At 38.6% G+C, this 24,366-nt stretch overlaps 2 protein-coding genes and 1 pseudogene across 10 annotated transcripts in view; 1 reads left to right on the top strand and 2 right to left on the bottom strand.

Annotated features, from left to right (window-relative positions):
* JAK2 (Janus kinase 2) overlaps positions 1-24,366 on the bottom strand; it is a 145,559-nt gene that overhangs the window by 77,678 nt on the left and 43,515 nt on the right. For 8 of the 9 annotated variants that reach the window (NR_169763.1, NR_169764.1, NM_001322194.2 and 5 more), the window contains 3 exons: positions 22,365-22,488; positions 7,751-7,868; positions 1,440-1,585 (listed from right to left, as the gene is read on the bottom strand). Coding sequence is in view for 5 of the 9 variants with exons in the window: in NM_001322194.2 (NP_001309123.1) it covers positions 1,440-1,585; positions 7,751-7,868; positions 22,365-22,488 (388 nt within the window). In the remaining 4 variants the exon portion in view is untranslated. Of the gene's footprint in view, positions 1-1,439; positions 1,586-7,750; positions 7,869-10,363; positions 10,740-22,364; positions 22,489-24,366 lie in introns of those variants that run through there. The other variant, NM_001322204.2, reaches the window with a different exon arrangement.
* Positions 1-24,366, top strand: part of INSL6 (insulin like 6) — a 193,664-nt gene that overhangs the window by 133,369 nt on the left and 35,929 nt on the right. The window lies entirely within an intron of this gene.
* Positions 10,146-11,363, bottom strand: CSNK1G2P1 (casein kinase 1 gamma 2 pseudogene 1; annotated as a pseudogene).

Raw genomic sequence — 24,366 nt, 5'->3', positions numbered from 1 at the left:
TGATTCTCAAACTGGAAGAAACTACAATCTACATAGAAAGATTGTGCCAAGACTTTGGATGACAGCATGGTTTCCAAAGCAGAAATATTCCACGATAGCTTAAGTCTAGAGATGGCTTCATATTTATAACATTCATCTTCAATGGGTCAAAGCTTCTGTTCTTCAACTGTGTTCCCCTGAATTCCTTCAGTTTCTATGTAACGACATCTAAGATACTCTTCCTCCAACTATGTTCTACTATAGCCTGGCATACAGCAAGTATTCAATAAGTAGCTGTTGAATGAATGAATGTGTTTTTTTTTTCCTTTGGGCTTTGGAATCTTCTAGATTTCTGAGTTCCTAAAATTATACCCTATGGCCTACACCCTTAGGTTAAGACCTAACAGACATCTGAAAGTAAAACAAGAATATTTAAAACCAAAGAGAGAAATACAGAAATTGATACTCTGCAAATTGGGTATGTAACTGTTTTGATGACATGGCAAAGAAATGACTGAAGCCAGTTATTGGGAGAACAATTTCAAAAAAGGAAGCTTTAACCACACTCATGATGTACTCAAATTTTTAATCTGGGAAGTATGTAATATATAAAATACATATTTGCCTTCAAACTTAAACCATTCTTATATATACCTTTTTAAAAAGCAGTTTTATATTAGCCATGATTGTCAAGTTCAATATGCAGAAGAATAATTTGAAGAATGCAGAGTTTGGACCATTTGTATAAGAATACCCTAGAGCATCTGTAAAAATTCATATTTGTGGGCTTCAACTCAGATTTACTGAATCCAAATCTCTTGGATTAGGACCCAGAAATCTTTGATTTTAACAGGCTCCCCCACGTGAGTCTAATGCAAATAAAATATACACCACCATTTGGGAAATACTTATTCAGGTCATTTATATAGCCAACTGGAGGATCTTCTATCAAAAAGTATGCCTCCAGGTGTTTCTTCTGTTCCTCTGAACTTCCCTAGCCTTCTCAGAATAAATGAAATCAAATAATAGATATTTAATACCTATGATATTTCCTGTAGTACAACTCTTTAAATAATTTCACCTTACAAAGTGTGTTTTACTCCCAAGATATAAAACTTACCCATATGATTTTTTATTATAGGTTGACTATCCCTCTTGCAAATATCTGAAATACGAAATGTTCCAAAATCCAGAACTTTTTGAACGTCAACATGATGTTCAAAGGAAATGCTCATTAGAGCATTTTGGATTAGGGGTGCTCAACTGGTAAGTTCAATGCCAATATTCCAAAATCTGGAAATATCCAAAATCTGAAGCATTTCTGATTCCAAGCATTTTAGATAAGGAGTACTTAACTAGTATTACAAAATCAAAAGGCATGGGTAAACACAGAAAATATATACGAATTATATAAAATCTCTACTCACACTTATGTGTAAGGATTTGCAAAAGAAAATTACCTGATAGAGTTATAGATGGCCAGTGGGGTTTGATCGTTTTCTTTGGCTATTCTCATCATATCTAACACTGCCATCCCAAGACATTCTTCCTGTGTTTCATGAGTCACAGGTACTTTTATCCATCCGTGCACAAAATCATGCCGCCACTAAAACCAAAAATTTGAAGGAAATATCTCATCGTAAGTTTCATTATCATGTTTTAATCTATGATTATATTTTAATCATAATTTTCAGAACATATGCATTTACAAGATACAAATTGGCCAGGCTCAGTGGCTCATGCCTGTAATCCCAGAACTTTGGGAGGCCAAGGCATGAAGATCACTTGAGCCCAGGAGTTTGAGACCAGCCTGGGCAACATGGCAAGATCTCATCTCCACAAAAAATTTAAAAATTATCCAGGCATGGTGGCACATACCTGCAGTCCCAGCTACTTGGGGGGCTGAGGTAGGAGGATCTCTTCAGCTATGATCACACCACTGCACCCTAGTCTGGGTAACAGACCAAGACCCAGTCTCTAAAATGATTAATAAATAAATAAATGGCATAAATTCCTCCTTTAATTTTCATTCATTTTGCGATACAATTTTAATAAAAGTTCATTTGCAAATGGAAACTGATTTACACTGGGTTCCCAATTACAGAGTACATATAACATCAACCTATTTCATTAAATATATCTTCAAATTATATCTTCTACATAAAAATTACCTAAATTAAAGTAGATATTACTGAGTTAAATATATACTGAACTCCAATTATGTTGGAAGTATCATACTACAAGTGGTGTTGGATACAAAGAAATAGCCATGTGCCCCATAACAATGTTTTGGTCAATGGCAGACCACATATATAACGATGGTTCCATAAGATTGTAATACTGCATTTTTACTGTATCTTTTTTATGTTTAGATATGTTTAACTACACAAATACTTACCGTTGTGTTACAAGTGCCTACAATATTCAGTACAGCAACATGCTATATAAGTTTGTAGCCTAGAGCAATAATAGGCTATACCATACAGACTAGGCATATACTAGGCTATAACATATAGGTTTGTATAAGTACAATACATGATATTCACAGAACAATAAAATTGCCTAACGACATATTTCTCAGAATATATCCCCATAAGTAAGTGACACATGACTGTATAAGATGTGGTCTCAGTCATCAAGGGGACCAAAATTTAGCTTAGAAGCGAAACAGAAGCAAATAATTATAACACCAGACATGATATAGGAAGCACCACACAAAAGCTCCTTCAGGAACTTGGAGAAAGTTAAGATTATATTCAGCTGGAGTAATCAAGGAGGGTTTCATGGAAGATTTGAAACTTCACAGTGTGTTTAAAAATAAAGAAATGTATGATGGACACAAAACAGGGTAAAGAAATAGAAGGAATGACACACACACAAAAGCACCAGATATGTTCAGATGCATAAACTAATTTGATTAGGGCCTGAAGTTTATGTGAAGAAATAATGTGGATTAAAACTTAGAAAAGTAAGTTGGGGTCCGACTGCAGGTACCCTTGAATGACCTGATCCTAGAAACTATGGAGATCTGTTTTCATCATGTCTCTTCCATTGGCAGAGTAGTAGCAATGATAGAAGTGCTTGAAGAAAATAAAGTGTATTTACGGAGGCTCTTTAAGAGGCTGGTGTATGGCTCAGATACGAAATAATAAGGATCTGATCCAGGAAACAGAAGATACTAAAAGATTCTGAAAAAAGGCTGATAACTTTATTAACTATATATTGTCTAAAGAATGAAGAAGAGAGAAACACAGAGGTTCTACGATTTTGACCTGGAGGATTTAGGAATACAGATAAATCTGACTGAACATGTAATGGGAGAAAGAAAAAGAAAGCAGAAGTACAAATATTCTAAACATAATACCAATTTTCTTTGTAGAAAAAAAGGTAAGAGCCATATTACCTAAAATAACAATGCGAATCAAGGTTTTAAACCGGACAAGGGCCCTCTATACTCTACATCTGTATTTCTCTTCTCTTGATGTAATAACTTGTCTCATGAAATTAAAGCTTTACTGGAACCTTTTTAAACTAATTTTATTAAAAGAAACATATTTAAAAGTATATTTGCTTTTCTATTAATAAAATATAGAAGATATTTTCATATAAGAAAATAAACTATTAAGAACCACACCATCAAATAATCAGTATCACCCAAAACAAAGGCCTAAACGTTGCTAATACAAAATTAATTCAGGGTAGGAGACAGATTTTTGCTCAATTTTAAACACTTATTTCACCACACTTTTGAGAACAGGCAAGTAAGTTATACTGTTTAAGTAGAAGATGATCAATGACTTGGTAGATTCTTTTTAATAGCCTGCCTTGGTTCCCTATAGAACTAGTAGATGGGCTGGGTGCAGTGGCTCACACCTGTAATCCCAGCACTTTAGAAGGCCAAGGCAGGCAGATGACAAGGTCAGGAGTTCGAGACCAGCCTGGCCAACATAGTGAAACCCCATCTCTACTAAAAATACAAAAAATTAGCCGGGCGTAGTGGCAGGCACCTGTAATCCCAGCTACTAGGGAGGCTGAGTCAGGAGAATCACTTGAACCTGGGAGGCAGAGGTTGCAGTGAGCCGAGATCACGCCATTGCACTCCAGCCCAGGCAACAGTGGGAGACTCCATCTCAAAAAAAAAGAAAGAAAAGAAAAGAACTGGTAGATAACAAATTCTGCTCATGTGGAAATTCTATGGAAGTCATGATCAGAAGACAATAAATATATGAAAAATGAGTGATGGCAATACTAAAAACATAATAAACTATTCACTAGAGAAAAGTTACAAATGGAAGAGTCTCAAATGCCAAAACATAATAAATACTATTCCTTAAATATTATAGTATGTACCCTCAGAAATTTCATTTAATTAGAACTACTGAAAAATTTCAGGCCAGGTGTGGTGGCTCACACTCGTACTCCCAGCACTTTGGGAGGCTGAGGTAGGAGGATCATTTGAAGCCAGGTGTTTGAAACCAGCCTGGACAATAGAGCGAGACCCCATCTCCACAAAACCAAAACTAAAAAAATTAGCCAGGCATAGTGGCACACACCTGTACCTAGCTACTCAGGAGGCTGACAGGCTGAAGCAAGACAATCACTGGAGCCCAGGAGTTCAATCTCTATAAAAAAATAAAATAAGAAAGAAAACCTTTTCTCATTTGAGTAGCTGACAAAATTTGAACTTAAGAAATTTACATCTTCATTAGCCAGGGAAATAAAAAACAGTCACAGTCACAAAATCAGAAATGATGCCAAGAACATGAGGTAAACATCCAATTGTTGTTGAATAGATATGAATTAATTAAAAGTTGTTCACATGTCAGCAGTTTATTTGCTTAGCAGCCATATTTGATGATATAAAGGCAATTAATTCCCAGAGGAAACTGAATTTAAAAGGGCCATCTTACTTTTGATTTTTATTTGCTTACCTTTTCCAAATCTGTCTTCCTACAGGTACTGTCTTAAGAACTTTAAAGACAGTTCAGTGGCTTATCTATTTTTTGGTTATTTAAAGATGTCAAGATATTCTTACACTCTGGTAATGCCACTGGTCACATTTGCTATATATAGTCTACAACATGCATATAATATAAAATGATAACAGTACAATCTTAGAGTAATCTAAATACTATCATATTTTCTGGGCACAAATTTAGAGAAGTAAAAACATTAAAAAATAGAAAATTGCTTGTGGTACTATCTAGACATAATTTAGAATTATATGGTGGAATTACCTTGCCATGCTAGATAAGACAATCCTTCCTAGAAGGATAAAATTGAGTATTCTGAAATCACCCAAAATTTTTCTAGATCAAAAATACTAGACATTGCAGTATTAATATTAGGCTAAAGTAGCTGAATGAATAGTTTGGGAAAACTTGGCTTATAAATGGGACTTAACTAGCCTACCCCCAAAATATACTAGCTCTGCAGCACAGGTGAAATAATATACCCGTAAAAGCAACAGAAAGTTGTAACCTCATAATATCCTGTTTTCAAAAGGCTATTCTTAGAAGCCTCTCTCCATTCCCCTCTCTTTTCATAATGGCTATACAGATAAAGGAGCTGTATAAAAAAGTAGGTTGGTGGTCAAATGATTTTCAACAAAGGTGCCAAGACCATTCAATGGAGAAAAGACAGTCTTTCAACAAATGGTGCTAGGAAAACTGGATATTCACAAGCAAAAGAAGTTGGGCCCTTACCTTCACGATAGACAAAAATTAACTCAAAATGGACCCAATGCCTAAATGTAAGAGCTAAAATGATAAAACTCTTACAAGAAAACAGAAAGAAAGGTTCATAACATTGGATTTGGCAATGATTTCTTGGATATGACACCAAAAACATAGGAAACAAAAAATAGATAAATTAGAATACAGCCAAATTTAAAACTTTTGTCCATCAAAAGACAAGCAACAGAATGAAAAGGCAACCTAGAGAATGGGAAAAACTATCTACAAATCATGTATCTTATAAGGAGTTAAGATCCAGAATAATAATTTCTATAATATAACAACAAACAAACAACCTGATTTAAAAATGGGCAAAGGACTTCAGTAGACATCTCTGCAAAGAAGATAAACAAATAGCCAACAAGCAACATCTCTGCAAAGAAGATAAACAGATGGCCAACAAGCATATGAAAAGATGCTCATGATCACTGGTTGTTAGAGAAGTATGCATCAAAATCACAATGATACCACCTCAAACCCATAGAGATGGCTATTATCAAACAAAGCAAAGCATTGTTGAGGATGTTGAGAAATTGGAACACTTGTGCACTGCTGGTAGGACTGAAAAATAGTGCAGCCACTACAGAAAACAATGTAGCAGTTCCTCAAAAAAAATTATAAATTTACCATATGATCCAGCGATTCCATTTCTGGGTATATATTGAAAAGAACTGAAAACAGGGACTCAAGGAAATATTTGTTTACCCATGTTCACAGCAGCAACCCAAGTATCCATCAACAGATGAATGAACAAATAAAATGCAGTATACATATGCAATGGAATATTATTCAGCCTTAAAAAGGAAAGAAATTCTGGCACATGCTACAACATGGATGAACCTGACAGACATTATGCTAAGTGAAATAAGCCAGTCAAAAAAGGACAAATGCTATATAACTCCATTTGTATGAGGTACATAGAAAAGGCAGATTTATATTCAGAAAGTAGAATGGTGATTGCAAAAGGCCATTGGGAGTGGGAAATACAGAGTTATTATTTAATGGGTATGAAGTTTCCATTTGGGAAGATGAAAAATGTTCTGGAGATGGATGGTGGTGATGGTTGTACAGCAATGTATTTGTACTTAATACAACTGAACTGTACACTTAAAATGGTTAAAATGGTCATTTTTATTATATATCTCTTACCACAATAAAAATAAAGTTTGTTGGTCTCATACCCCAATAGAGAAATGTTTTTCCTTTTGTTGTTCATAAACTGAACTAGGCTTACTAGGCTTCCTCTCAGAAATGCGAGCCATGAGGATCTGTGGGCTTGTTTCCTACAATATTAGCAAATCTGATTTAGAACTCCTGATACCTTGGGGATACCAAGTGCCTATTTTTACCCAAGAGCACTAATATATTTTCTTCCTTTAATTTCTATTCCTACTAGTCTAGCAGCACATAAAAACAAGTTATTTAATGACAAAATATTTCAATTACTGTTTAAATCAAGGTAATAGAGAAGAAAGCATTATGAAATACCAACACAATACAAAAATTTGACATAACTGTATTAGTGAACAAATAACTTGAATATAGCTCTTAGACTAAGTATCAACATCCAGTCACCTTCCTATAAACAGCTAAACAAACTATCAGAGCTCATTTTTTTATGTAACCTACTTTCTCTACAGTTCATTGTCCATTGTGTAAGCCTGAAATTGTCCAAAAATTTTTTTAAAAACCATAAAGAAATGTTACTAATATTTTAGCCACGTATGTCTACATGAATCATGTTGTAAACCTCAGTCTATACTTTGCGAAATCCTTAAAATGATCTAAAGTCCTAAAAAAGAAAGAAATTCAAAAGGATCAGTCCAAAAAAACTTTATAAAATAGATTCTATTATCCATAAACCATGGGATTAAAAACTAGTGCTAAAAGACTCAATTTTGTTACTTCTCTGCACCTGCTGTGCAAGACAGAACTGCAATTTTCCCATATGTAAAGTTTTTCCTGATTAAGTGACTTATTAAACAGCAAGATATTTATCATTTAACTCATGTACAAGTAAGATAATATAATCATACCTGAGCAAAGAGGTAAGACATGACAAAGTCATCAAGAAGAGGAGCTTCAGCACCTCGAGATATTCCATGCCGATAGGCTCTGTTGCTGCCACTGCAATACCAACGAGGAAAGTAAAATCTACAAGATAATAAAAACATTTGGTCAGCTTCCAAATAGTTCAAATACAAACGTACTATCTATATATAGTCACCTACAGCATACTGAAAGGTATTATCCCATACTTAGAAAACACAGCTAACAGTATTAAATATAAATGTGAGACAAAAGGATATGTGGATAACACTAATATAGGCAGAAAGTACAAGAAATGTAAGTGTAAAATCAATATACTACCTCCTTCAGTGCACAAAATGTAGAAGCAATAGTAGGAAACAAAAAATGTAGAAATTAACAAAAAGTTAAAAACATAGCTTAATCCAGTAACATCAGTAGGGAATCTGAAAATGCTAATTTGGTATAAAAACAAATAATTGCTTATTTGGAGAAATGGAAGTTAAAAACTTGTCCTTCAGAGAAACAAAGAACACTCTATATTGTCTTTTAGTAACACCTTTATTGAGATATAATTCACATACCATAAAGTCCACCCACTTAAAGTGTAAAATTCAATGTTTTTAGTTTATTCATAGCATTGTACAAATATCACAATCTAATTTTAGAACATGTGGCCTTTCTGTCTGCCTTCTTTCACTCAGCATAATGTTTTCAAGGTTCATCCACATTAGAGCATGTATCATTACTTCATTTCCTTTTATTGCCAAATTAATATTTCATTGTATGAATATACCACTTTTTCTGTATCCATTCATCGCCTGACAGACATTTGGGTTTGTTTCTATTATTTTTCTATTGTGAATAACGCTAGTATGAAGAGTCATGTACAAGTTTTTGTGGATATGTTTTCATTTCTATTGCATATATATCTAGAAGTAGAATTGCTGAGTCATATGGTAACTCTTTGTTTACCCTTTTAAGGAATGGCCAAACTGTTTTCCAAAGTAGCAGCACCACTTTACATTCCCAACAGCAATATACTGCATCCAAATTAGTCCAAATTCTCTAACACTTGTTATTGTTTGTCTTTCTGATTTTTGCCATCCTTGTAGACCTATTATTATCCCATCGTGGTTTTGATTTGTATTTCTCTAATGACCAATGATGTTGGGCATCTTTTTTTCGGAGGGTTTCATTTTTCCTTTTTTTTTTTAAAGCCCCTAAGTTGTATGGCTTCAAAAGAGCATCAGAGAAACGTAAACGCCATTTCCGTACACTTGGTAAAGCAAAAACCAGACTCACGGCCACCGCCCTGGGCACTGCCTCAAGCTGACCCGCTGGGAGTCCGCCAGCCAGTCCAGGGCCGCCCGCAGACCCCCCTGCACATACACCTGCGGGGCTGGGTCGGGGGCTTTAAGGCATTTTGTCTGCGGCTGCTTGCCAGGGGGCGGAGCACAGAGACAGGAAGCCACGAGCCCGCGCGCCTCCACACAGCAGGGCCCAGGGGCCGAGCCGCGCGACGCCAGCCGGCCCACCCCCCTCAGCTTCTGAGGGTCGGAGCACAGCCTCGGGGAACAGGTGCCTCGAGAAGCACCCTCCTAGCAGGGCCCACCTGCCCCTCGCCGGGGCCAGGCTGTGAAAGGCTGCGGTGGCCGTGCCTGTGGCGACCGAGCTTTGGTGCAGCATTTTGGTTGCGGGGCTGGCTTCAGCCGCGGCCCCACCCCTCCGTTCCCCTTTAGTTTTGGGGAGGCCTGGGGCACAGCCTCACCCCTGGCAGCAATGCCTGTGTCCCTCCCAGGTGGGCCTGGGCAAGATGGCCCCACAGCACCCCTCCAGGCCAGGCCTGCCCTCCCACTGAGAAAACGGCCTTTGGATGAGGGAGACAAGCTGGACTTTATGACGCTAACGGGGGCAGCTGGCTGGGCCTCAGCCCTGGGGGCCTCCAGGATCCCACTACTCACTTCAGCAAAGTAATGGAGGGGTGGGGGTGGAGGGGGCCTTTCTTTTTTTTCCTTTATTCCTTGTTTTAAATAGTTAATGCTCTTGGAGGGGAGGACTAGACACAGGTGTAGAAATTTTGGCCAGTCTTGGCCGGGCGCGGTGGCTCACGCCTGTAATCCCAGCACTTTGGGAGGCCGAGGCGGGTGGATCATGAGGTCAGGAGATCGAGACCATCCTGGCTAACAAGGTGAAACCCCGTCTCTACTAAAAATACAAAAAATTAGCCGGGCGCGGTGGCGGGCGCCTGTAGTCCCAGCTACTTGGGAGGCTGAGGCAGGAGAATGGCGGGAACCCGGGAGGCGGAGCTTGCAGTGAGCCGAGATTGCGCCACTGCAGTCCGCAGTCCGGCCTGGGCGACAAAGCGAGACTCCGTCTCAAAAAAAAAAAAAAAAAAAAAAAAGAAATTTTGGCCAGTCTTACGTGAAGGAAGTGACCCCTCGTCCCGGGGATGGGGCCGCCGGCCAAGACCCTGCAGTCTGTGTCCTGGCTTCCAGCCAGCGTCTGGCCCTGGGCCGCTGTGGGTGGGCCCCAAGGCCCTCACACAAGCTCGCTCCCCAAGGGGCCGCACGGAGAAGATTCAGGGGGAAGAAACAGCAGCATTTCGTTTCATCGCCCACCTCCATCTCTGCAGGCGCCCTGATGGGCGCTGGAGTGGCCGGCCATGGGGTCGTCCGCGTTCAGCTCCCCATTGGTGGAGTTCAGCGCCTGGTTTTTGCTGTGCGGCTGATCTTTGTCCCGAAGCTGAGGCTGGGAGGGCAGGTCGGTGTGGACACTGCTGATGGGGGTCGCCAAGGGCTTCCCGAGCCCCTCGTACTCAGAGTCGAACACGAAGCCGCTTCGGTCGAAGAGGTAGCTGGAGAGCTTCCGCAGGTAGTCGTAGTCGAGCTTCTCAAAGTCCAGGCGCCGCATGTAGTCACAGTCGGGCTTCTCAAAGTCCAGGCGCCGCACGTAGTGCAGGTACGTAGCCATCTCCTCTGGGAAGTTCTCGCAGAGCACTTCGATGGGCGTGGCGCGCTATGTGTCCCCGATCTTCTGTACCGCTCATGATCGTGTCAGCCTTGAGCCCCTGCCAGGGGAGGCTGCTGCACAGGAAGTACATGAACATGTGGCCCAGCACCTCCAGGTTGTTGCAGTGGCTCTGCTCCTTGCCCAGGTGCATGTTGATGCTCATGTAGCACGCCGTACCTGTCAAGCTCTTGTGCTGGCTGCACGGGATGTGCTTCTTGGTCCTGAGACCAGTGTACCCCTTGGCCAGCCCGAGGTCGATGATGTGGATGGCGTGCTGCCGCTTGGTCCCCGGGCGCCCCACCAGGAAGTTCTCGGGCTTCACGTCCTGGTAAATGAGGTTCTTGGTGTGCACATAATCCATGCGCGTGATCAGCCGGATGGCGATCAGGAGCACCGTCTTGGGCGTGAAGGTCGAACAGGTCCTCCAGGCTGTAGTAGGTAGTAGACCTGAGGGACGCCCTCTATGGCGCTGAGCTGCTTGTAGAACCGGTACCCAGGTGCAGCTGCGGGGTCCGGAACTTGATCAGCTCCAATTTGATAGCCACATATTTGTTTGTATAGAGATTCTTTCCTTGGCTCCGCCATGGCCAGGCTGCCGGCAGCGTCTGGGTGGCCGGCCAGGCTTCAGCAGCGCGGCGCGGATCCGCGCTCCGGCCCCTCTCCTGCTCGCGCTGGGGCTCTGGCGCCCCACTCGGGCCCCGCTCCAGCTCCTGCACCGCCTGGGCCAGCCACCGCATGTTAAGGGCGGAAGGCGCCTGGCACACCACGGTCCCGGACGCCCGCTCAGGGGCCCACCTGTTGGGCATCTTTTTACATGCTTTTTGGCCATTTGTATATCTTATTTGGAAAAATGTCTATCCAAGTCCCTTGCCTACTTTTTAAATTAAGTTGTCATTGTCTTGTTGAGCTGTAAGAATTCTTTTATATTCTGGAGATAAGACAATTATCAGATATATGATTCCCAAACATTTGCTTCCATTTTGTGGAACCCATTTGTGGGTGGTCTTTTCGCATTTTTGATAGTGTGCTTTGACACACAGATGTTTTTAACTTTGATAAAGCCTAACTTAACTATTTTTCTTTTGTCACTTGAGCTTTTGGTGTCATATCTAAGAAACCACTGCCTAATCTAAGTACACAAAGACTTCTGTGTTTCTTCTTGGAGTTTTAATAAGTTTAGCTCTCATATATAGGCCTATGATCCACTTTAAGCTTTTTTTTTTTGTATATAGTGTGAAGTAGATTGTCTTACTTCATTAGTTTACATGTGGATATCCAGTTGTCCCCGCACTGTTAGTTTAAAAGACTATTCTATGCCCATGAATTGTCTTGGCACCCTGATCAAAAATCAATCACCATCAATGTGAGAAATTATATTGAGACTGTCAATTCCTTTCCATTAATCTGTATATTCATCCTTTAGTATCACATTGTCTTGATTACAGTCCTTTTGTAATAAATTTTGTAATTAGGAAGTATAAGTCTTCAAACTTTGTATTGTTTCAAGATTGTTTTAGCTATGCTAAGTCCCTTTGCTTTTTATATAAATTTATGATTAACCTGTCAATTTCTGCAATAAAGACATTTAGGAATTCAGTAGGAATTGCATTGAACATACAGATCAATTAAGGAGTATTGCCATCTTAAAAATATGAAGTCCTCTATGAGATATCTTTCCATTTATTTAGGTGTTTCCTTAATTTCTTTCAATGATGTTTTATATTTCTCAGTGTATACATTTTACACTTCTTTAAGTTTATTCCTAAAAATTTGTTATGCTATTGTTAATGAAATTTTTTTAATTTCATTTTTGGATTGTTCTTTGTCTCTGTATAGAAATACAACTGATTTTTATATATTGATCTTCTATTCTGCAACTGACCTGAGCTCATTTATTAGTTCTAATAGTTTTTTTATTAATTCCTTAGGATTTTTAATATGCAAGATCATGTAATCTGTGAATACACAATCATCCTTTGGTATCTATGCAGTACTAGTTCCAGAACCTCCCACACATACCAAAATCTGCAAATACTCATGTTCCTGATATACAAAGGCATAGTATTTGCATATAACCTGTGCACATCCTTCAGTATACTTTAAAATCTCTAGACTATTTATAATACCTAATACAATGTAAATGTTATGTAAATAGTTGTTATACCGTATTCTTTAGGGAGTAATGACAAGAAAAAGTCTGTACATGTTCAGTGTAAGCACAACTTTTTTTCCAAGTATTTTCAATCTGCAGTTGGTTTAATCCATGGATGTGAAACCCATGGATACAGCGGGATGACTACAATTTTACTTCTTATTTTCCAATATAAATGCCTTTTATTTCTTTTTCTTGCCTAATTTCCCTACCCTGAATCTACAGTATAGTGTTAAATCAAAGTGGTAAAAGTAGCTATCCTCATCTCATTCCTGATCATAGGGAAAAGGCATTCAGTCTTTCACTAATAAGTATGACATTACTTTTGAATTTTTTACAGATGCCCTTTAACAAATTGAGGAAGTTCCTTGCCATTCCTATTGTGTTGAGTTTTTTTATAATGATGGGATGCTGGATTTTATCAAATACTTTTTCTGTGTCTCTTGGGATGATCATGTGGTTTTGGTCATTTATTCTATTAATGTGGTGTATTACATTGATTGATTTTTGGAAGTTACACTAGCCTTGTATTTCCTGGGATAAATCCCACCTGGTCATAGTATTTCATCTTTTTATAAACAAACTGAGCATTCCTAACCTGAAAATCTGAAATCCGAAATGCTCCAAAATTCAAAACCTTTAGAGCGCTAACCTGATGTGCAAAAGAAATATTCATCAGAGCATTTCAGACTTTAGATTTTTATATTAGGTATGTTCAACCAGCGTATACTCTGCAAATATTCTAAAATCCAAAAAAAAAAAAAAAAATCTAAAATCCAAAACACTTCTGGTCCCAAGCATTTCAGATAAGACATATTCAAGCTGTATTGCTGGATTCGGTTTGCAAGTATTTTGTTGATTTTCTACCTACAACATTGGTCTGTAGTTTTCTTTTCTTCTAGACATCTTTGTCTGAATTTGTTATCAGGGTAATACTGAACTCACAGAAAGAGCTCAGAAATCCTCCTTCCTTTTCTATTTTTTGTGAATAACTAGTAATAATTTTTTTAATGTGTGATAGAATTCACAAGTGAAGCCACTTGGGCCTGGGCTTTTATAAAAATTGCTAATTTGATTTCTTTATTTGTCATAGACCTATTCAAACTTTCTGTTCTTTCTTTTAGCAGTTCCTATAACTTGTGTCTTTCTAGGAATTTGTCCATTTCATCTTGATCCTCTAATTTGTTGGCATTAAAAACACTGTATCCATTAAACAATTATTTAATGTACATGAAGAAATATTTAACAAAAGAAGAACAAATCATTAATGGCCTTTTCAAAAAATTCTCAGCATCACTAGTTATAAGAATAATGAATAGTTGTAACTATGTGCTAAAGCAAGCAATCTCGTTCATTATTCTCATAACTAGTGACGCTATATATTCATGTACATTAAGTAATTGTTAAATGGATACACTGTTTTAAATTTCATACTTACAAGAATACTAACCTTATGTTTATTTGATTTGTTGAAACTATCTTTACAATTTGCCTTTTCATTTTTTTCTATTATACTTTAAGTTTTAGGGTACATGTGCACAACATGCAGGTTAGTTACATATGTATACATGTGCCATGTTGGTGTGCTGCACCCAGTAACTCGTCATTTAACATTAGGTATATTTCCTAATGCTATCCCTCCTCCATCCCCCCACCCCAGAACAGGCCCCGGTATGTGATGTTCCATTCCTGTGTCCATGTGTTCTCATTGTTCAATTCCCACCTAAGAGTGAGAACATGCAGTGTTTGGTTTTTTGTCCTTGCGATAGTTTGCTGAGAATGATGGTTTCCAGCTTCATCCATGTCCCTACAAAGGACATGAACTCATCATTTTTCATGGCTGCACAGTATTCCATGGTGTATATGTGCCACATTTTCTTAATCCAGTCTATCATTGTTGGACATCTAGCTTGGTTCCAAGTCTTTGTTATTGTGAATAGTGCCGCAATAAACATACGTGTGCATGTGTCTTTATAGCAGCATGATTTATAATCCTTTGGGTATATACCCAGTAATGGGATGGCTGGGTCAAATGGTATTTCTAGTTCTAGATCCCTGAGGAATCGCCACACTGACTTCCACAATGGTTGAACTAGTTTACAGTCCCACCAACAGTGTAAAAATGTTCCTATTTCTCCACATCCTCTCCAGCACCTGTTGTTTCCTGACTTTTTAATGATCGCCATTCTAACTGGTGTGAGATGGTATCTCTTTGTGGTTTTGATTTGCATTTCTCTGATGGCCAGTGGTGATGAGCATTTTTTCATGTCTTTTGGCTGCATAAATGTCTTCTTTCAAGAAGTGTCTGTTCGTATCCTTCGCCCACTTTTTGATGGGGTTGTTGTTTTCTTGTAAATTTGTTAGAGTTCATTGTATATTCTGGATATTAGCCCTTTATCAGATGAGTAGATTACAAAAATGTTCTCCCATTCTGTAGGTTGCCTGTTCACTCTGATGGTAGTTTCTTTTGCTGTGCAGAAGCTCTTTGGTTTAATGAGATCCCATTTGTCAATTCTGGCTTTTGTTGCCATTGCTTTTGGTGTTTTAGACATGAAGTCCTTGCCCATGCTTATGTCCTGAATGGTATTGCCTAGGTTTTCTTCTAGGGTTTTTATGGTTTTAGGTCTAACATTTAAGTCTTTAATCCATCTTGAATTAATTTTTGTATAAGGTGTAAGGAAGGGATCCAGTTTCAGCTTTCTACACATGGCTAGCCAGTTTTCCCAGCACCATTTATTAAATAGGGAATCCTTTCCCCATTTCTTGTTTTTGTCAGGTTTGTCAAAGATCAGATGGTTGTAGATAGGTAGCATTATTTCTTTCCATTGGTCTATATCTCTGTTTTGATACCAGTACCATGCTGTTTTGGTTACTGTAGCCTTGTAGTATAGTTTGAAGTCAGGTAGCGTGATGCCTCCAGCTTTGTTCTTTTGGCTTAGGATTGACTTGGCAATGTGGGCTCTTTTTTGGTTCCATATGAACTTTAAAGTAGTTTTTTCCAATTCTGTGAAGAAAGTCATCTGTAGCTTGATGGGGATGGCATTGAATCCATAAAGGACTTTGGGCAGTATGGCCATTTTCACAATATTGATTCTTCCTACCCATGAGCATGGAATGTTCTTCCATTTGTTTGTATCCTCTTTTACTTCATTGAGCAGTGGTTTGTAGTTCTCCTTGAAGAGGTCCTTCACATCCCTTGTAAGTTGGATTCCTAGGTATTCTCTTTGAAGCAATTGTGAATGGGAGTTCACTCATGATTTGGCTCTCTGTTTGTCTGTTATTGGTGGGTAAGAACGCTTGTGATTTTTGCACATTGATTTTGTATGCTGAGACTTTGCTGAAGTTGCTTATCAGCTTAAGGAGATTTTGGGCTGAGACGATGGGGTTTTCCAGATATACAATCATGTCATCTGCAAACAGGGACAATTTGACTTCCTCTTTTCCTAATCAAATAACCTTTATTTCCTTCTCCAGCCTGACTGCCCTGGCCAGAACTTCCAACACTATGTTGAATAGGAGTGGTGAGAGAGGGCATCCCTGTCTTGTGCCAGTTTTCAAAGGGAATGCTTCCAGTTTCTGTCCATTCAGTATGATATTGGCTGTCGGTATGTCATAGATAGCTCTTATTATTTTGAGACACGTCCCATCAATACCTAATTTATTGAGAGTTTTTAGCATGAAGGGTTGTTGAATTTTGCCAAAGACCTTTTCTGCCTCTGAGATAATCATATGGTTTTTGCCGTTAGTTCTGTTTATATGCTGGATTACGTTTATTGATTTGCATATGTTGAACCAGCCTTGCATCCCAGGCATGAAGCCCACTTGATCATGGTGGATAAGCTTTTTGATGTGCTGCTGGATTCGGTTTGCCAGTATTTTGTTGAGGATTTTTGCATCAATGTTCATCAAGGATATTGGTATAAAATTCTCCTTTTTGGTTGTGTCTCTGCCAGGCTTTGGTATCAGGATGATGCTGGCCTCATAAAATGAGTTAGGGAGGATTCCCTCTTATTCTATTGATTGGAATAGTTTCAGAAGGAATGGTACCAGCTCCTCTTTGCACCTCTGGTAGAATTCAGCTGTGAATCCATCTGGTCCTGGACTTTTTTTGGTTGGTAAACTATTAATTATTGCCTCAATTTCAGAGCCTGTTATTGGTCTATGCAGAGATTCAACTTCTTTCTGGTTTAGTCTTGGGAGGGTGTATGTGTCCAGGAATTTATCCATTTATTCTAGATTTTCTAGTTTATTCATGTAGAGGTGTTTATAGTATTCTCTGATGGTAGTTTGTATTTCTGTGGGATCGGGTTGATATCCCCTTTATCATTTTTTATTGCATGTATTTGATTCTTCTCTCTTTTCTTATTATTCTTGCTAGCAGTCTATCAATTTTGTTGATCTTTTCAAAACACCAGCTCCAGCATTCATTGATTTTTTTGAAGGGTTTTTTGTCTCTCTATGTCCTTCAGTTCTGCTCTGATCTCAGTTATTTCTTGCCTTCTGCTAGCTTTTGAATGTGTTTGCTCTTGGTTTTCTAGTTCTTTTAATTGTGATGTTAGGGTGTCAATTGGATCTTTCCTGCTTTCTCTTGTGGGCCTTTAGTGCTATAAATTTCCCTCTACACACTGCTTTGAATGTGTCCCAGAGATTCTGGTATGTTGTGTCTTTGTTCTCGTTGGTTTCAAAGAACATCTTTATTTCTGCCGTCATTTCGTTATGTACCCAGTAGTCATTCAGGAGCAGGTTGTTCAGTTTCCATGTAGTTGAGTGGTTTTGAGTGAGTTTCTTAATCCTGAGTTCTAGTTTGATTGCACTGTGGTCTGAGAGACAGTTTGTTATAATTTCTGTTCTTTTACACTTGCTGAGGAGTGCTTTACTTCCAACTATGTGGTCAATTTTGGAATAGGTGTGGTGTGGTGCTGAAAATATATATTCTGTTGATTTGGGGTGGAGAGTTCTGTAGATGTCTATTAGGTCTGCTTGGTCCAGAGCTGAATTCAATTCCTGGATATCCTTGTTAACTTTCTGTCTTGTTGATCTGTCTAATGTTGACAGTGGGGTGTTAAAGTCTCCCATTATTATTGTGTGGAAGTCTAAGTCTCTTTGTAGGTCTCTAAGGACTTGCTTTATGAATCTGGGTGCTCCTGTATTGGGTGCATATATATTTAGGACAGTTAGCTCTTTTTGTTGAGTTGATCCCTTTACCATTATGTAATGGCCTTCTTTGTTTCTTTTGATCTTTGTTGGTTTAAAGTCTGTTTTATCCGAGACTAGGATTGCAATCCCTGCCTTTTTTTGTTTTCCGTTTGCTTGGTAGATGTTCCTCCATCCCTTTATTTTGAGCCTATGTGTGTCTCTGCACGTGAGATGGGTTTCCTGAATACAGCACACTGATGGGTCTTGACTCTTTATCCAGTTTACCAGTCTGTGTCTTTTAATTGGAGCATTTAGCCCATTTACGTTTAAGGTTAATATTGTTATGGGTGAATTTGATCCGGTCTTTATGACGTTACCTGGTTATTTTGCTCATTAGTTGATGCAGTTTCTTCCTAGCCTCGATGGTCTTTACAATTTGGCGTGTTTTTGCAGTGGCTGGTACCAGTTGTTCCTTTCTATGTTTAGTGCTTCCTTCAGGAGCTCTTTTAGGGCAGGCCTGGTGGTGACAAAATCTCTCAGCATTTGCTTGTCTGTAAAGGATTTTATTTCTCCTTCACATATGAAGCTTAGTTTGGCTGGATATGACATTCTGGGTTGAAAATTCTTTTCTTTAAGAATGTTGAATATTGGCCCCCACTCTCTTCTGGCTTGTAGAGTTTCTGCCAAGAGATCTGCTGTTAGTCTGATGGGCTTCCCTTTGTGGGTTACCCAACCTTTCTCTCTGGCTGCCCTTAACATTTTTTCCTTCATTTCAACTTTGGTGAATCTGACAATTATGTGTGTTGGAGTTGCTCTTCTCAAGGAGTATCTTTGTGGCGTTCTCTCTATTTCCTGAATTTGAATGTTTGCCTGCCTCGCTAGATTAGGGAAGTTCTCCTGGATAATATCCTGCAGAGTGTTTTCCAACTTGGTTCCATTCTCCCCATCAGGTACACCAATGAGACGTAGATTTGGTCTTTTCACATAGTCCCATATTTCTTGAAGGCTTTGTTTGTTTCCTTTTATTCCTTTTTCTCTAAACTTCTCTTCTCACTTCATTTCATTCATTTCATCTTCCATCTCTGATACCCTTTCTTCCTATTGATTGAATCGGCTACTGAGGCTTGTGCATTCATCACGTAGTTCTCGTGCCTTGGTTTTCAGCTCCATCAGGTCCTTTAAGGACTTCTCTGCATTGGTTATTCTAGTTAGCCATTTGTCTAATTTTTTTTCAAGGTTTTTAACTTCTTTGCCATGAGTTCAAACTTCCTCCTTTAGCTTGGAGTAGTTTGATCGTCTGAAGCCTTCTTCTCTCAACTTGTCAAAGTCATTCTCCATCCGGCTTTGTTCCGTTGCTGGTAAGGAGCTGCGTTCCTTTGGAGGAGGAGAGGTGCTCTCATTTTTAGAGTTTCCAGTTTTTCTGCTCTGTTTTTTCCCCATCTTTGTGGTTTTATCTACCTTTTGTCTTTGATGATGGTGACATACAGATGGGGTTTTGGTGTGGATGTCATTTCTGTTTGTTAGTTTTCCTTCTGACAGTCAGGACCCTCTGCTGCAGGTCTGTTGGAGTTTGCTGGAGGTCCACTCCAGACCCTGTTTGCCTGGGTACCAGCAGCAGTGGCTGCAGAACAGCGGATATTGGTGAGCAGCAAATGTTGCTGCCTGACTGTTCCTCTGGAAGTTTTGTCTCAGAGGAGTACCCGGCCATGTGAGGTGTCAGTCTCCCCCTACTTGGGGGTGCCTCCCAGTTAGGCTACTCGGGGTTCAGGGACCCACTTGATGAGGCAGTCTGTCCGTTCTCAGATCTCCAGCTGCATTCTGGGAGAACCACTACTCTTCAAAGCTGTCAGACAGGGACATTTAAGTCTGCAAAGGATTCTGCTGCCTTTTGTTTGGCTATGCCCTGCCCCCAGAGGTGGAGTCTACAGAGGCCGGCAGGCCTCCTTGAGCTGTGGTGGGCTCCACCCAGTTTGAGCTTCCTGGCTGCTTTGTTTACCTACTCAACCCTCGGCAATGGCGGGCGCCCCTCCCCCAGCCTCGCTGCCACCTTGCAGTTTGATCTCAGACTGCTGTGCTAGCAATGAGCGAGGCTCCGTGGGCGTAGGACCCTCTGAGCCAGGCGCGGGATATGTGCCATTTGCTAATACCGTTAGAATAGCGCAGTATTAGAGTGGGAGTGACCCGATTTTCCAGGTGCCGTCTGTCACCCCTTTCTTTGACTAGGAAAGGGAATTCCCTGACCCTTTGCGCTTCCCGGGTGTGGCGATGCCTCGCCCTGCTTCGGCTCATGCTCAGTGTGCTGCACCCACTGTCCTACACTCACTTTCCTACACTCCCCAGTGAGACGAACCCGGTACACCTCAGTTGGAAATGCAGAAATCACCCGTCTTCTGCATCGCCCATGCTGGGAGCTGTAGACTGGACCTGTTCCTATTCAGTCATCTTGGCTCCACCCTCCTGCCTTTTCATTTTAAGAGGAAACCTTCAGACATTTGAAAATTTTTATAGTTGACAATTGCAGTCATTCCCATATGATTTTTTCTATTGTTTTGCAACTTAAATGGTATTTTCCCAAGGACTTGAATTCAGTTCCAATTCAGACTTTTATAGTTTGATTTTCTTTACATTTCTATTTACATATCAATCTGATCTTTAATCAATCTATAATTTATCTGATATACATTATAAAGTAAGAAGCTAAAATTTTATTCAAACAGCTAATCAACTATTCTACCACCATTTGTTGACTAATCTCTCCCTTCCACGTTAATATGAAAAGATTTCTTCATATTATTATGTTTCTATATGTATGAAGGAGTACTTTCAAGATATACTGGCCCCATCATTCTCATTATTTAGTTTATGATTCTGAATTTAATTATGTGGCTTTAATAATAGATACCATTTTGTAGTTTCATATAATGTGAAAATATCTCCTGGGACAAAATATTTTACAATTGCCAGGTAAGTCTTCTTTCTCATGGCTATCTTATTTAATAATTCTCAATTTACATAGTAATGTGTCAAATTCCGTAAAATGCCTTTGTTAGGATTTTGATTGGCTTAGAGCTAAGGATATAGCATAAGAGAAATTGATCTTTGTAATATTCCATCTCCCCATTCCAATGTTATGTCCTAATTCTTCATATTCTTCAAATAACTTTCTAATTTTCCTATACTGTCTTCTGTTTTTTCTTATTAAGACCATTCCTGGTTAGTTAAGGGTTTTTGTAGCTACACTGCATAGGATCTTCTTTATCTATTATATAACTGGTTGCTTGCATATAAGAATGCTGTTGATTTTTGTACATCTATTATTTCTTTGAACATTTATTTTTTTCACCAATTGTCTTTTCAATAATTATATAAAAAATATTTTTTTGAACTCAGTGCAAATTATACATTAGACATCAGTAAATGCAAACACATCCAACTGCATATTTTTATATAGAATAGGGGAAGAGAAAGAAGCAAAACAATACTAAAATTTATTGAGAGAGCACCAAGTGATAGGCACAATAATAAATATTATATATACATTATCTCTTTAATGAAGTACACATGAGGTGATTAAGAGGCAAGCTTATGAAGCAAACCAGGCTTGGATTTGAACCTGACTCCCAATTCCTACCTGTGTGACCATGAATAAATTTGAGTAATATTACTTCTCAGTGCTCCAAATTCTTTATCTTTAATGTGGAAATCTTAACACCTCATGAAGTTATGATGAATTATATATATATGTATATAAATGCTTAGAAAAATCACAGGTATTTGTGAGACACAAATCAAACGTATCTTTGTTTCATCCTTTCGAGCAAAAAAATACTTCTAGATTTCTCTAAATAGGCATTACACATTACCATAAATTATATAAATTAACTTACAATTTGAGGCTGCAAATACACACTGGGAAAAGTCTCTTTTCTTCACGTCAACTTTTTAAAAAGTTCTTTATAAAGATAAGATGTGAAATTGCATTCTATTGCACAAAACGCTGCACAAACCAGCAATATCCCAAACATTTAGGATTTTGTTAATAAAGGCCACTGTGATTTTGTTTACTTATTTAATTATAATCATAAGGAGTTAAGTGGCATCCCACCAAAACAGCTTTATTCTCAGAGTATTCTACTTACACAACATGTATAAACAGTTTCTCTGATGGAGAAACAGAATAGAATCTTAAATGAAATCTTAAATGAGTGCTAACTAATTGGTTCAGGTATCTGGTATTAAGTACCTTGCAATTAAAAAATATTTGATAATTTCTCCCATTTTGCCTTTTAGCATTAAGTGAGTTACTTTACTGAAGAAAGTACCTTATTCTGTAGAGTACATTATGCCTGGTTGACTCATCTATATGGAAGACATGGTTGGGTGGATACCAGATCCTTTCTGTTTCACTCATTAAAGCAAACATATTATGATACACAGGTGTGATACCTAGAAAAGAAGCAGAGAAAGGAATTATTAAAGGTACACAACAGAATATTTTTACATAGCACCTATAATTTGAAATGAAGCTAAAGTAACAACTCTTAAAATCGGAACAAAATGTAATAGCAGTCGAAATCTTTTGATATACCAACCCCTACAACTGAATTATTAATCACAATCTTTTTTTATACAAACATACTTCATTTTAGTGCACCCTGCATTATTGTACTTTGCAGATATTGTGGGGTTTTTTTCTTTACAAAATAAGGATTTAGAGCAAGTGTGAATCTAGTAAGTCTGTCAGCACCATTTTTCCAACAGCACGTGCTCACTTTGTGTCCCTATGTCACATTTTGGTAATTCTTGCAATACTTCAAACTTTTTTATTATTATATCAGTTATGATGATCTGTGATCAGTGATCTTTGACATTACAATTGTAATCATTTGGGGCCGCTATGAACCGTGCCCATATAAGATGACAAACATAAGCAACAAATGCTGTGTGTGTTCTGACCGCTCCAGCAACAGCCATTCCTGTGTCTCTCCCTCTCCTTAGGCCTCTCTATTCCCTGAGACACAACAATATGGAAATTAGGCCAATTAATAATCCTACAATGGCCTCTAGGCATTCAAGGGAAAGGAAGAGTTTCATATATTAAAGAGTTTCATATCTCTCACTTTAAATCAAAAGCTAGAAATAATTAAACTAAGTGAGGAAGGTATTATTAAAAGCCAAGAGAGGCTAAAAGCCAGGCCTCCTGCACCAGTCAATCAAGTTCTGAATGCAAAGAAAAAGTTTTTGAATGAAATTAAAAATGCGACTGCAGTAAATACATAAATGATAAGAGAGCAAAACAGCCTTATTGATGATGTGACAAAAGTTTGAGTGGTCTAGATAGAAGATCAAACCAGCCACAATATTCCCTCAAGCCAAACCCTAAACCAGAGCAAGGCCCTAATTGTCTTCAAACCTGTGAAGGCTGAGAGAGGTGAGGAAGCTGCAGAAGAAAAGCAAGAAGCTAGTAGAGGCTGGTTCATGAGGTTTAAGAAAAGAAACCATGTCCCTAACATAAAAGTGCAAGGTGAAGCAGCAAGTGTTGATGGAGAGGATGCAGCAAGTTATCCAAAGATCTAACAAAGATCACTGATAAACAATAGATTTTCAGTGTAGACAAAACAGCCTTCTATTGGAAGAAGATACCATCTAGGAGTAGTTTCATAGCTAGAAAGAAGTCAGTGCTTGCCTTCAAAGTTTCAAAGAACTGAATGACTCTCTTCTGAGGAGCTAATGCAACAAGTGACTTTTAGTTGAAGCCAATGCTTATTGACCATTCTGAAAATCTATGGCCATTAAGAACTATGCTCAATTACCCTGCCTGTGCTCTATAAATGGGACAACAAAGCCTAGAAGATAGCACATCTGTATATAGCGTGGTTTACTGAATATTTTAAGCCACCGTTGAGACCTAAAGCTCAGAAAAAAAGATTCCTGTCCAAGTATTATTACTCATTGACAATGCACCTGGTCACCCAAGAGCTCTGATGAAGATGTACATTGAATTTCATGTTGTTTTCATGCCTGCTAACACAACATCCATTCTGCAGCCCATGGATAAGGAGCAATTTGACTTTCAAATCTTATTATTTGGGAAACACATTTAGTAAGGTTATGGCTGTCACAGTGTTTCCTCTCACAGATCTAAGCAAAGTAAATAAAAAAACTTATGGAAAGAGTTCACCATTCTAGACGTCATGAAAAACATTTGTAGTTCATGAGAGGAGGTCAAAATGTCAACATTAACAGGAGTTTGGAAGAAGCTGATTCTGGCTCTCATGGGTATCTTTGAGGGATTTAATCTTCAGTGAAGGAAGTCACTGCAGA

This window comes from Homo sapiens, chromosome 9, assembly GCF_000001405.40.
Source record: "Homo sapiens chromosome 9, GRCh38.p14 Primary Assembly".
NCBI lineage: Eukaryota > Metazoa > Chordata > Mammalia > Primates > Hominidae > Homo > Homo sapiens.
This window is presented reverse-complemented; position numbering and strand designations above follow the sequence as displayed.